The sequence below is a fragment of the Homo sapiens genome, chromosome 15 (assembly GCF_000001405.40).
Source record: "Homo sapiens chromosome 15, GRCh38.p14 Primary Assembly".
Classification (NCBI taxonomy): domain Eukaryota; kingdom Metazoa; phylum Chordata; class Mammalia; order Primates; family Hominidae; genus Homo; species Homo sapiens.
Genome location: NC_000015.10, coordinates 72,502,788 through 72,518,266, shown reverse-complemented (window position 1 = coordinate 72,518,266; position 15,479 = coordinate 72,502,788). Strand labels below are relative to the sequence as shown.

At 40.2% G+C, this 15,479-nt stretch overlaps 1 protein-coding gene across 1 annotated transcript in view; it reads right to left on the bottom strand.

Annotated features, from left to right (window-relative positions):
* The window catches only part of ARIH1 (ariadne RBR E3 ubiquitin protein ligase 1), a 128,658-nt gene that overhangs the window by 84,721 nt on the left and 28,458 nt on the right, over positions 1–15,479 (bottom strand). Inside the window, exon 2 of the mRNA NM_005744.5 lies at positions 133–200. Coding sequence (NP_005735.2) covers positions 133–200 — 68 coding nt within the window. The remainder of the gene's footprint in view (positions 1–132; positions 201–15,479) is intronic.

Below are 15,479 nucleotides of genomic sequence, written 5' to 3'. Positions count from 1 at the left end.
AGTCACTAGTTGCACACTGGGTTGTCCACATACTGGTATATTCATCAATTCCCTTACTTGATTCTTGTAAATTCGGTTCAATAGGCTTTCTGTGTTACTTCTAAGTACAAAGCTGACAATATAGTTCCTTACCTTTCCATTAGCTTCTCTTTATCCCAATTGAAGTGGCTAAGGAGTATTCTTGTGATAGTTGCTGGATTCTAAAGAAGGAGGGGAAAAAAAGTCATTTTAAGGTAATAGCACTTCATGGACATTTAGTGAACTCCTAGGTTGAAGTTAAATTTCCACAATACTCCACCCAAATTTCCATCCCTAGAGTTATTTCTTTATTCCTCTAAGGAAATATATTTGAATGATAAGATCAAGACTATTTAAACATAGTCTGCCACACTACTATGTCAGGTTTCTTTAGGATTAAAAATAAGCCAAAAAGAAATTAAACAGAAAGTAAGTTACTATAGTAAATCCGGCGCTGTCTTAATTGCAAAAAAAAAATAATTTCAGCAGACTGCCACATCAGCACACTAAATGTAATCAAAATTTCAGCCAGGCAGGGTGCTCACACCTGTAATCCCAGCACTTAGAGAGGCCAAGGCAGGCTGACTGCTTGAGCTCAGGAGTTTGTGACCAGCCTGGGCAACAAGGCAAAACCCGTCCCTAATAAAAATACAAAAATTAGCCAGGTGTAGTGGTACACACCTGTAGTCCCAGCTACTTGGGAGGCTGAGGCACGAGAATCACCTGAACCTGGGAGATGGAGGTTGCAGTGAGCCAAGATCCCACCACTGCACTCCAGCCTGGGCAACAGGGCAAGACTCTGACTCAAAAAAAAAAAAATTTGTTTTAAAAAAGGAAAATTTCCAACACTCAGGCACGATCGCATGTGCCTATAGTCCTAACCACTCAGGAGGTTGAGGCAGGAGGATCTCAGGCCCCAGAGTTCGAGTGAAGCCTGGACAACATAGTTAGACCCAGTCTCTTTTAAAAAAATAATTTAATACCTTATACACTGAATAGTTCAAATGAGTTCAAATCACTTTTAAGTTAGAAGGATACTTCAGAGATATTTAACCAAAATGAAAAAATACTGTACCACATAGTAGTTTACAGGGCATACTTTTAGGCTGCTATTTCAAGAAAGAAAAGTTACCACTATGAAATAAAACCAAAGTTTACTGCCTTATCATTCAATGCTGTCACAAATATCTCCATTTCCCATGAAACTAGTGAGCTCACTATTTGTGCACAAAATTTTAACTCAAAATGCAACGGGGCCTAAGAAGTCAGCAAGGCCTGACTCATTCAAAGATACAAGAGCTAGTTACAATAGCAGAAGTGGAACTCAAACATGTGTCTGCTTATTTTTATCTCATATATAATTTTACTACATCAAATAACCTTCCAAAAAAGATCTCTGTGGACTAAAACCACTTTACTTCACCACAAGCAGACCGTAGTTAGCTACAGATTTAAAGTAATCTTGTATAAAAATAGTGTCATGAAAGAAATGTATGTCAATTGTTTTCGACAGTACCATTTGTTACAGAAAAATTTACACACATGCATACTCCCCTCCAAAAGCCAAAGATACAGACACTCACTTACTCACCTTAGTACATTTTGCTAATCTAGGTACTCCTTACTTCTCTGGACCCACACTCCCCTAAGAATCTGTCTTTAACAGAGCACTGCTGATAGACACCACCCATCTATAAGAGTTAAGATGTGAAAAGAAATATTTTAACTGATCCTAAGTTATACGTTTATTTGTAGAGAAAACAGAAAACAGAGACACTGTCATCTCCAGCTCTTAGAAATGTGATGTAAAACTTTTTTTTTAAAAGAACTCAGAAATTAAAAACAAGTTTTAACAAGAGGATTTGCCTACAACTGAAATAAAGTCACTAATTTAGATTTAGCTATATGTAAAATAAGCTAAATCTTAAGTCTCTCCATCAATCAAGAGACTTAAGTCTCCTGTTATTAACTAAAATTGCATGACTATAACTTTGTGGCATCCAGTACACTGTATTTTCTACCACTGGATAGGGTGCTTGGGGTAAACTATTTCAGGAATTGTTAAGAGCCTCAACTTGCAAAAAGGGAAAAAACAGAGGGGAGGGAGTATAACTTGATGTTGCTAGTGCCAAATATTGTTTCTAGCCACAAGTTCCCAAATCTGTTATTGGTTTATCAAAAGTAACTATGGTAAGTTTTGTTAAAACAGATTCCTAGTTTCCACCACCATGTTTTTATTTAATATGGTTAGGGCAAGGGCTCCCTAAATGTGCTCACTGCCATGTGAGGCATGACAGGTAGGAGACTCAAACTATAATTCCATGCTTCTGGCTAGGGGAATAAAGAAGGCCCCTGGGAGCTGAAGAATATAGGTGAAATCACTGATGATTAAGAGACAGAAAAGTAGATCCCTAAGTCTGTGGGCCCAGCTGCAAGCTATCTATATATATATGGAACAGATCCAAAGAAGTGTAAGGGAGGCTTTCACAATAAAATTAGGATATAAATCACTGCTCAAGTGCTAGATCAACCAAAGTGGGAATGGGAGGGGCAAATGCAAACAACATGGCAAAGACTTTGAAAACTGAAGAGATAATGGAACCACTGCCTATGTAAGATGAGAAAGAATTTGCAGGTATAAACTAAATAGGTCAATTTGTCTACTAAAACAAATCTTAAACTTTCTCTACAGCACTTCAACAGGACTCAGAATCTCACAATACAATATTCAAAATGTCCGCGATAGAATCTAAACTACCAAACACAGCAAATACAAAAAACAAAAAACTGACCAATTCTTAAAGCAGAAGATAATCAACAGATGCTGACTCCTAGATGACCCAGATATTACAATTATCAAAGACTTTTAAAGCAGTTATTTTATATTTTTTTATTTTTATTTTTTATTTTTCGAGACGTAGTTCCACTCTTGCTGACCAGGCTGGAGTGCAATGGCACGATCTCGGCTCCCACAACCTCCACCTCCCGGGTTCAAGCAATTCTCCTGCCTCAGCCTCCCAAGTAGCTGGGATTACAGGCATGCGCCACCATGCCCGTCTAATTTTTTGTATTTTTAGTAGAGACAGGGTTTCTCCATGTTGGTCAGGCAGGTCTCGAACTCCCGACCTCAGGTGATCTGCCCACCTCGGCCTCCCAAAGTGCTCGGATTACAGGCCAGCAGTTATTACAACCATGATCCATTAGGTAAAAAAAGAACACCTTAAAACAAATGAAATGTGAAATTATCTTTTTTGTTGTTTTTTTGATGGAGTCTTGTTCTGTCATTCAGGCTGGAGTGCAGTGGCGTGATCTAGGCTCACTGCACCCTCTGCCTCCTGGATTCAAGCAATTCTCCTGAGTGGCTGGGATTACAGGGGCATGCCACCACACTCAGCTAATTTTCTTTATTTTTAGTAGAGAGGGTGAAACCCCCTCTACTGGTCTCAAACTCCTGACCTCAAATGATCCACCCACCTTGGCCTCCCAAAGTGCTGGGATTACAGGCATGAGCCACTGCGCCTGGCCAAAATCCTCTTTTTTTTTTTAAGACAAGGTCTTGCTTTGTCGTCCAGGATGGAGTGCAGTGGTGCAATCTCAGCTTGCTGCAGCCTCAACCTCTTGGTTCAGGTGATTCTCCCACCTCAGCCTCCTGAGCAGCTGAACTACAGGCATGCACCACCGTGCCCAGCTAATATTTTGTATTTTCAGTAGCGACAGGGTTTTGTATACCGCCCAAGCTGGTCTCGAACTCCCAGACTCAAATGATCCTCCCACCTTGACCTCCCAAAGTGCTGGGATTACAGAGCCCGGTCTGAAATTCTCAAAAAAGAAAGAGTTTACTATTTTTTAAAAAAATGAAAATTTTAGAACTCACTCACTGGACCGGCTCACTATCAGAAAGAAGATGACAGAAGAGTCAGTGAACTTGAAGATATGGCAACACAAATTATCCAATCTTAACAAAAGAGAGAAGAAATATTTTTTAAAAACAAACAATCTCTCAGGCCCCTATAGGATATCAAAAGGTATCAAGCTAGAATTCTGTATTCACTAAAAGTATAGTTCAGAAATGAAGACAAACACATTATCAGACAAAAAAGCAAAAAACAGGCTAGGTGCAGTGGCTCATGCCTCTAATTTCAGTGCTTTGGGAGGCTAAGGCAGGAGGATCACTTGAGCCCAGGAGTTCGAGACCAGTCTGAGCAACATGGTGAGACCCCATCTCTACAAAAACTACAAAAAATTAGCTGGGCGTGGTGGCGTATTAGTCCCAGTAGCTGAGGAGGCTGAGGTTGCAATGAGCTGTGATCACACCACTGCACTCCAGCCTTCCAGCCTCAGACAAGACTCTGTCTTTGGCGGAGGCGGGGCGGGGGGTAGAGGGAAGGAGGGAGAGAGACAGAGAGGGAGGGAGGGAGAGGGGGAGGGAGAGGGGGAGGGAGGGAAGGAGGGAGAGGGGGAGGGAGGGAGAGGGGGAGGGAGGGAGGGAGAGGGGGAGGGAGGGAGGGGGAGGGAGGGAAGGAGGGACAGGGGGAGGGAGGGAGGGAGAGGGGGAGGGAGGGAGAGGGAGAGAGAGAGATTGAAACCTGCTCTAAAAGAAAAGCTATAAGAAATTCTTTGGGTGGAAGGGAAATGATATGGGGGTAAACTTGGAACTACAGGAAAGAAGGAAAAGCGACAGAAATGGTAAATACCTGGGTAAATATTATACACTATTTTTCTCCACTTAAATTCTTGAAAACTTATAAAACTGTTGAAATAAAAAACTGTAACATCATGCTTGGTAGGAAGAGTTAAATGTTTCTAGACATAACACATACGACAACTGTAATATAAAGAGGCTAGGAAAAAAACCTGTTTTACTTTGAGAAGGTAAAATATTTACCTTAACTAGAATGTCAAGAGTTAGATTATACTCCCTAGAGCAACCACTAAAATAGTAAGACCAAGAGAAAAGCTTTTAAAAAGCCAATAAATATATCAAGTAGAATATTTTAAAAATTTCAAGTAATCCAAAAGGCAGAAAAAGGAGGAACAAAGAGAAAAGTAATTTTAAAAGACCTAAATCTAACCACGTAAATAATTACATCAAGTGTAAATGTTCAAAACAAACCATTTAAAAGGCAGGGCAACCGCTCAGATCTTTTTTTTAAAAAGGGCAAAACTCTATGCTGTCCATAACAGCTCAGTTTTCAATGTAATGATTGATATATACAGATTAAAAGTAAAAAGATGGGAAAAGATATATCACGCAAACACTAATCACATGAAGGCTACAGTGGCCATATTTCTATCAGACAAAGCAAACTCCAGAACAAGAAAAATTAGCAGCAGTAACTTCAAAATAAAGAAAAAACTGATAGAAATCAAATAGATGATTCCACAATTATACTTAAGAGATTTCAACACTCCTCTCTCAGTAATCCACTGAATATGTAGACAGCCTACTTCCAAATTAAACCATCTTTTGCTAAATCCAAGCTTGAAAGAGGAAATCTCAAAGAAAATTAGAAATATCTTGAACTAGACAAAAATGAAAATACAACATATCAAAGTTGTGGGACATAACAGTGTTTACAGGAAAATTTATCATATTAAATGCTTATGTAAGAAAATCAGAAAGATCTCAAACACTTCAGGAAAAAAAAGAAAAAGAAAAACCCAAAGCAAGCAGAAGAAAGGGAATAATAAACAGCAGAAGTCAATGAAATTAAAAAGGAAAAAAAAAAAGAAAAAAACCGAGAAACAAAACCAAAAGCTAGTGCTAAAGATCAATGAAACTAATAAAACTCTACCTAGGATGATAAGCAAATACTACAAACTCTTTGCCCATTAAATTCATCAACTCAATAAAACAGGCCAACTTCTTAAAGACACAAATTACTAAACCTCACTAAAGAAGACACAACACGAATGATCCTATATCTATTAAGCAAACTGAGTATGTAATTAACTCTCTTGCACAAAGAAAACTCATGGACCAAAAATGGTGTCACTGGAAAATTCTACTAATCATTCAAGGAAGAAAAAAAAAAATTCTACACCACTCTTCCAAAAACTAGAATAGGAGGGACCACTTCCCAATTTCCATAAGATCACACTGATATCAAAATCCGACAAAGACATTTCAAGAAAATTACTACATGAACAAAGATGCAAAAATCCTCAATGAAATATTAGGAAATACAATCTAGCAATATATAAAAAGGATAATTACACCACAATCAAGTGGGGTTCGTCCTGGGATTGCACGGATAGTTTTAAATATTCAAAATTCAATTTAATTACCACACTAAAAGCCTAATGAAGAAAAGTCACAGGATAGGATATAAATAAAGCATTTGACAAAATTCAACATCCACTACTATAAAAATCTCTCAGCAAACTAGGAAACGAAAAAGAAGTGCCTAGAAGAGGCACTTCTAGGCCAGCTGCCCAGTCACTCTCAGTCAACTCTGTACTGGACGGAGTCTTACAAATACAATATGGCAAGAAAAAGAAATAAAAGAAATTGGAAAGGAAAAAAGCTGTTTCTAATCAGATGACTATGTATGTGGCTATGCAGAAAATCCCATTAATCTACAAAAAATTCCTAGAAGAAATGAGTTTAGCGAAGTCCAAGGCCAATATAAAAAGATCAGCTGGGCCAGGCACGGTGGTTCATGCCTGTAATCCTAGCACTTTGAGAGGCCAAGGTGTGTGGATCACCTGAGGTGAGGAGTTCAAGACCAGCCTGGCCAACATGATGAAACCCCATTTCTACTAAAAATACAAAAAATTAGCAGGGCATGGTGGCAGACGCCTGTAATCTCAGCTACTCAGGAGACTGAGGCAGGACAATCACTTGAACCCGGGAAGCGGAGGTTACAAGTGAGCCAAGATGGCGCCACTGCACTCCAGCCTGGACAACAAGAGCAAAACTCCATCTCAAAAAAGAAAGAAAGAAAGAAAAGATCAGCTATATTTTTACATACTAGTAATGAATAACTGAAGATCAAAAAAATTTAAAGTGCCACTTACAATAGCACCAAAACGTGAAATACATAGGTATAAATTTAATATGTGAAGAACGTGTACACGGAAAACTGCAAAATATTGATGAAAGAAATTTTAATAAGACCTAAATAATGGAGAGAGATGCCATCTTCATGGATTGGAAAACAACATAATTAAAATGTTAATTCTTCCCAAACTGACCTATAGATTCCACTCAATGCCAATCAAACTCCAAATATTTTTTGGATAAACATCAAAGTGATTCTAAATTTTATATGGAATACCAAGGAAACTAGAGTGGCCAAATTTTGAAAAATTTTAAAACAGAACACCTGATTTCAAAACATAACTATGAAGTTACAGTACTGGCAAAAAGATATACAGATCAAAAGAATGGAATGGAGACCAGAAATAGACCCACATAAATACAGCAAAAGTGATCTTTTACAAAAGTGATAAAACAATTCAACGGGGAAAAAGTCTTTTTTTTTTTTTTTTTTTTTTTTTTTTTTTTTTGAGTCAGAGTCTTGCTCTGTTGCCCAGGCTGGAGTGCAGTGGCGTGATCTCGGCTCACTGCAAGCTCCGCCTCCCGGATTCACATCATTCTGCTGCCTCAGCCTCCCCAGTAGCTGGGAATACAGGCGCCCACCACCAAGCCCGCCTAATTTTTTTAGTAGAGATGGGCTTTCACCATGTTAGCCAGGATGGTCTCGATCTCCTGACCTCGTGATCCACCCGCCTCGGCCTCCCAAAGTGCTGGGTAGTACTGGAATAATTAAGATGTACATATTTTTAAAATGTACTTTAGCTCACATTTAATACAAAATTAATAATGGATCAGACCCAAATGTAAATCAGACTGTAAAACTTAAAGAAAATGTTTGTGACCTTGAGTTACACAAATAGTTCGTACATACATCAAAAGCACAATCCATTAGAGAAAACGGATACACTGAAATCCATCGAAAGTAAAAGATACTGTTAAGAAAATACAAGATATACCACAGACTAGGAGAAGATACCTGCAAATTACATTTCTGATGAAGAATTTGTACCTAGAATAATTTTTTAAAAATCTAAAAACCTAACAAGAAAATAAAAGCCCATTTTAAAAATTGATTTACAATTCTATTTAAATGACACAGTGGAAAAGGCAAAATTACAGGGCTCAGGCCAGAAGAGGTGGGAGATCCCTGTAGTCCCAGGTACTCAGGAGGCTGAGGCAGGAGGATCACTTGAGCTAAGGAGTTCAAAGATGTAGTGTGCTAGGATCCCATCTGTGAACAGTCACTGCACTCTAGCCTGGACAACACAGTGAGGCCCCATCTCTCTTTGGGGAAAAAAAAAAAAAAAGGTGGGGCTGGAGTGGGCGATTGGTGTCACACCTGTAATCCCAACACTTTGAGGGGCCAAGGCGGGAGGACTGCTTGAGCCCAAGAGTTTCAGACTAGCCTGGGCAACAAAGCAAGACCTCTACTAAAAATTTTTAAAAAATTAGCCAGGCATGATGACACACATGCCTGTAGTCCCAGCTACTCTAGAGACTGAGGTGAGTAGGATCCCTTGAGTCCAGTAGCACAAGGCTGTAGTGACCTATGATCGCATCACTGCATTCCAGCCTGGGCGAAAGAGTAAGACCCTGTCTTAAATGAATGAGTGAAAATAAATAGAAATAAATAAGTAAGGATAGGGTACAAATCCAGAGCTGCCAAATATTAAAGGTGGGGGAGGGTTTGACTAAACAATGGGGTAGAAAGAAATTTGAGGGGTGATGGTGAGGGGAAACTGTTCTGTAAATTAACTATGGTGGTGGTTTACACAACTCTAGGCATTTATCAAAACTCAGAGAACTGTATGCTCCAGTGTAAATTTTATTGTATGAAACTTAAAGTATTCAACTATAAACGTAATCTAGCCTGCACTGGAGCACCTGTAGTGAAGTTCTTTTAAAAAGAACAATGTGGGCCAGGTGTGGTGGCTCACACCTGTAATCCCACCACTTTGGGAGACCGAGGCAGGTGATCACTTAAGGTCAGGACTTCAAGGCCAGGCTGACCAACATGATGAAACCTTGTCTCTACTAAAAATATAAACATTAGCTGGGAGTGGTGATGCACGCCTGTAGTCCCAGCTACTTGGGTGGCTGAGGCATGAGAATCACCTGAACCCAGGAAGCGGAGGTTGCAGTGAGCTGAGATCAGGCCACTGCACCCAGCCTGGGCAACAGAGCAAGACTCAGTCTCAAAAAAAAAAAAAAAGGGCCAGGCACAGTGGCTCACACCTGTAATCCCAGCACTTTGGGAAGCTAAGGCGGGTAGATCACCTAAAGTCAGGAGTTTGAGACCAGCCTGACCAATATGGTGAAACCTCATCTCTACTAAAAATACAAAAATTAGCCGGGCATGGTGGCGTATGCCTGTAGTCCCAGCTACTCGGGAGTCTGAGACAGGAGAATTGCTTGAACCCGGGACGTGGAGGTTGCAGTGAGCCGAGACTGCACCACTACACTCCAGCCTGGGTGATAGAGAGAGACTCCGTCTCAAAAAAAAAAAAAAAAGAAAGAAAGAACAATGAGAGTAAAAGGGAATGCTGAAAAGGAGAACATAGATTTGAAATTATTTAGTGCCGGGCACAATGCTAGATACTTTATATACATTATTTCATTTAATACTCACATCAATATTTTATGCAAGTTAGATATGATTTACATTTTACAGATGAGGTTACAGAGGTTAAGTGTCTTGGTCCAGGATAAAATAGGCTAGTAGGATTTGAATACATGGAGAAATTATTTTTTAATTTATGATTATAGCACCACTCCCTACAAGGACTTGTCAAAGGAGAGAAATTCACTTCGGTGTGCCACCAAAACTGATAGTTCAGTGAAAAGCCAATTCAAGCTCTTGGCTGAAATAAAGAGCTCTTCATCCTTTTTAAAGGATATAAACAAACCAAACAAAAACAGTTTGAGTAAAATCACTATAATCAGAAAACTAGTACTAATACTAGCAGCAGTACATTTAACTTTTAGGACAATAGAACAACCTAAAACCTTACATCTTGTCTAGTTATAACTCTAAATCAGTACCACCCACCCCTGTCCATTCTGGCTACATATAAGAATCTCCTGAGGAACTTAAAAAATACCATTAATTGGGCTTTGCCCCCAGCAATTCTGATTCAACTGTCAAGGGTAGAATATGAATATATATATTTTCATCCAACATTTTTATCTGAAGGTCCCCAGATGATCCTAACATGCAGACAGAACTGGGAACTACTGCTCTAAACAATTTCCCACTACACAGGCTCCGAAAAAGTACATCTGTAGAACTCCCATGAATGTGGCAGTATAGTATTTTAGTAATCTAAAGAAAATAACATTCCAGGCTCAGAGCAGCTGTATTTACTTTAAAGTTTTGCATTTTGAAAAAGTTGATTAGTAAGTCTGATTATGTCAACTGTCCTAGCTGAAGCTTTAACATCAATTGCACCATCATCCCCTATCCTTTGATCAAGTAGTTCTCAATTTTAGTAGCACATAAGCTCTTAATTGACTGTTATTTATTTATTTATTTTTATTTAAAGACAGGATCTTGCTATGTTGCCCAGGCTGGTCTCAAATTCCTGGGCTCATGCAATCCTCCAGCTTCAGCCTCCCAAAACACAGGGATTATAGGAATGAGCCACTGTGCACAGCCATCTAGGAAGCTTTTAAACAAGCCACAAACCCCAGGCCAAATATATCAGAATATGGGGGGAGTGAGGAAGAGGACTGAGGGGGACACCTGGGCATTACCATTTTCAAAAACTCCCAAGAGATTCCAATAAGCAGTCACAGTGGAGAATCATAATCTGGATGCACACATGTGTGCAGACAGGCCCATATTCAAGAGTATGACAAACTCTCCAGGTAGAATCACAACCAAAGCCAGGCATGGTGGCTCACGCCTGTAATCCCAGCACTTTGGGAGGCCAAGGCAGGCGGATCACTTGAGGTCAGAGTTCGAGACCAGCCTGGCCAACATGGTGAAACCCCGTCTCTACCAAAAATATACAAATATTAGCCGGGCACGGTGGTGTGCGCCTATAGTCCTAGCTACTTGGGAGGCTGAGGCAAGAGAAACACTTGAACCCAGGAGGCAGAGGTTGCGGTGAGCTGAGATCATGCCACTGCACTCCAGCCTGGGCGACAGGGCACGACTGCGTTTCAAAAAATAAATAAATAAATACATACATACATACATACATACATACATACATACATACATAAAAATAATCACAACCAAATTGCTGAATGACATTCCTATATTTAGCAGAGTGGGAGGCAACTACTTTTTCAAAAATCTCAAGAGACAACTTTCTTATTTTAGGATAAAGCTAAGTAAAAAAACAAACAAAAAAAACAAAAAAAAACCACTTTTTTATTCCAGTTTACATACACAGAAAACCTCCAAAACCCACCTTTTTATTATTTCAGAATTTGATCTGAACGAGAATTAAACAGGTTAGAGGCACCACCTTAAACCTCAGTTTTAAGATTTTCCTACAGAAGCATGGGCTCATGTTTGCATAAAATCTACAAGCTCCTCAAATGAGCTGCTTATGGGTCCAAAATTTAAAGAGAATTTTTTAATACTTTTTAAACAATATTAGAAACTCAAAAGTCACAAAGTATAAAAACATCTGTATTCTAAGGAATATTTATAAATGCTACAACAAAAATGAGCAAGCATACCCACTCAAAAAAGAAAATAATCCAACAAAAATGGACAGTTCATCAATTCCCATATTACAATTGGCTGAAAAACACACGAAAATATCCAATCTCCTTAATACAATGAATGCTTTAAATCTTCCACAATGACTAAGTTCTTTTTTTTTTTCTTTTTTTTTTTTTTGTGAGACGGAGTCTTGCTCTGTCGCCCAGGCTGGAGTGCAGTGGCGCAATCTCGCCTCATTGCAAGCTCCACCTCCCGGGTGCACGCCATTCCCCTGCCTCAGCCTCCTGAGTAGCTGGGATTACAGGTGCCCACCACCACGCCTGGCTAATATTTTTGTATTTTTTAGTAGAGAAAGAGTTTCACCGTGTTAGCCAGGATGGTCTCGATCTCCTGACCTCATGATCCGCCCGCCTCGGCCTCCCCAAGTGCTGGTATTATAGGCGTGAGCCACGCGCCTGGCCCACAATGACTAAGTTTTTAAAAGCTGATACTATTGGCTGGGCACAGTGGCTCACACCTGTAATCCCAGTACTTTGGAAGGCCAAGGAGGGTGGATCATGAGGTCAGGAGTTCAAGACCAGCCTGGCCAACATGGTGAAACCCCATCTCTACTAAAAACACAAAAAATTACCCGCTATGGTGGCACGAGCCTGTAATCCCAGCTCCTCGGGAGGCTGAAGAAGGAGAACTGCTTGAACTCGGGAGGCAGAGGGTGCAGTGAACCAAGATCGCACCACTGCACTCCACCTCTGGGCAACAAAGCAAGACCCCGTCTCAGGGAGAAAAAAAAGACACTATCCAGTGACAACGGCAAGAGAAACAGGTCATAATTTGTTAATGAGATGGCAACTTTGGTCAAACCTTTTCTGAGGGTAGTTTGGCAGAAGTGATCAAAATTTAAAATGCACATGAACTAGGACCTAGAAATACCCATTATAGGAACCTGCTCAACAGAAATACCAAGTATAGAAGTATAAGAATTTTCACATCCACATTATTTGGGAAAGCATTTTCCCATTTATACATTTTTTCAAGAGGAGACTGCCTATAAATTATGCTATATTCATACTTGAAATATTATGCAGCCATTAAAAAAATATGGAAGGTTATTCATGAGATACCACTGAGCGAAAAAAAACAAGCTACTGAGTAGTGCACAATATTCCATTTTTGTGTTAAAAAAGTAAATTTCTATGATATGGTAATATTCAAAAAGAAATTTCAAATAAATAGAAATGTAAAATATTACCTTTATTTATAACTGTAAATACTATAGGCTTTGCTACTTAAAGTGTGGTTCACAAAATTACAATCACCTGAGTTTGTGAGAAATGTAGAATCCCAGGTCCCAACAGCCATCTACTGAATCTTCACTTTGAACAGACCCTCAAGTGTTCCTGAGGTGATCTGTATGCATGTTAAAGTTTGAGGAGCACTGATATAAGCTACAGGAAGTAATGCTCTTGAGAGCTGGTTAAATTGCAACTGTAAATGGTTTCATTTCCAAATTCTCCTCAGATATGATTAAATACTTAATGCCTTCTAAGAAATTATCATGTGTAATTCAGGTATAGTTTTTCTTCCCTTTAAAGGTATAGGTTTGTTGAGAGCTCTTTATTTAGAGTCACTAAAAGGGTCAACATAATTAATGCTTAGTCAATGACATATCATAGAATAACTTCTTTATATATCTGAAGTTCAATGATAGAGGCAGGAAGCAGAGACATTCTAGGCAGACAGGGGTGGGTTCCCAGTGAAACCCCAACTTCAAACCAAAAAGCCTGAAACCTGTGGCCCAAAATGAGAACTTCCGTCTGCCGATTCTCTCCCAGTTGGTTCTTTCCGAATAATGTCTTTTTACCAATCGAATGTTGCTTTTTCCAAAACTACTGATGGCCAACCCACCCCTCATCCTGTGCAGATAAAGACGAACGAGAGAAGCGGCTTGACTGGAGAGAGGTCCCTGGACTTCAGAGGGGCAGCTTGACTTCAGGAAAGATTACCTGCCCAACCTGTCTCTTCTCTAGCTCCCCTCTCTGCTAAGAGCCATTTTCATCACTAAAGAAAATTATCCGCCTCCACCATCCTTCAAGCGTCTGGCAGGACCTCATTTTTCTTGGACACCAGACAAGAACTTGGGACCCACCAAGTGCAGGTACCCAAAAAAGGCTGTCTGGCTGGGTGCGGTGGCTCACACTGTAATCCCAGTACTCTGGGAGGCTGAGACGGCAGATTAACCTGAGGTCAGAAGCTCGAGTCCAGCCTGGCCAACATGGCAAAACGCCATCTCTACTAAAAATACAAAAATTAGTGGGGCATGGTGGCGGGTACCTGTAATCCCAGCTATTCAAGAGACTGAGGCAGGAGAATCGCTTGAACCCAGGAGGCAGAGGTTGCAGTGAGCCAAGATCGTGCCACTGCACTCCAGCCTGGGCGACAAGGGCGAAACTCCATCTAAAAAATAAATAAATAAATAAAGGCTATCACACTGGCCCTTTGCCCTCACTAGTGGAGGGCGGCTGCCCCACGCAACAAGGCAAGGAGCCTACTGAGCTGGTAACACACCGCTGTCCACAGACGGTGGAGCTAAGACAGCATTGTAACATGCCCTCTAGGGCTTCAGGGGTTGCAGGCACCCCAACCTGGGTGCCATCGCAGGGCCCACATGAAACTTGCTCCTGCCAGCACCCAAAGCAGCCAGCCAGATCCCGCATTCACTTGCTCACGTGCTCCCTCCTGCAAGGGGTTGAGGGCTGCAAGCAGAGTAAATGGGGCACCTCCATCACAAGTCCAAAGAAGGGGTCAAGAAAAATCCTGCATCACATACAGTACCATCTACTAAATGTAAGAGTAGCATTTTGTCACCAAAGGATGCTCTTGACTTTGATCAATCAGTATTTGGTGGAGGGAATAGAAACCACTAGATATTCTGAGCAAAGGGGAGTTAAAAAGGAATTAGATGCTTAGTTACGGGAAAGAATGGAGGAATGGGGCTATAGGAATATGTCTCCAGGAGTGACTACCAGAACACTACAGAACTGAAATCATAAGAAGCTACCAATGGGACCACTAAATCCAAGAACACATGGCAGATAACTGTGATCCAAGGATTGGAAAGCTTGAATCAGGAAGTTGCCACTGTCACAACTGCCTCTAAATACCCAGCTAGGGGATGTACACAATAAAACAGTCTAGCTGCTGCCTTAACCACAAAAGCCTCTTGATAACTCAAGATGCTGGAGAATAAATAATGCTATGCTGCATTTCTGCTACTGTTGGCAAAATCTCACTTCTTCATGACCCAGACCACAAAAACGAAGAAAACATAAACTCCCTTCAAATCTCCCACATATATATTATAATTGTCACAACTATTTTATATCTAGAACCCTAAATGCAAAATAGTCTGAGAAATAGTTTTTGGCCTTCTAGACTACTTAGGACAGAGAAGCACCTAGTGGGGCTAAGGGAGACAATCCACACAATCTCTAGATGGCTTAAAAGTATGTGCATTTTAAAAGAATTTACAACTAAACACTGATCATCAAACTTCCCAGTTATGAATATTTACTTCTAAGCTACCACAGGAGAAGGAAGGTAAAAGGTAAAAATGTTGAGGATAATATTCTTGAGAGAACTCCCCCTTAAAGAGGCTTCTCAGATTACTTCAGCAGGCAGGAATGTCATACCTTCATCACTCTTTTTTTTAATTTTATTTTATTTAAGACAGGGTCTGGCTCT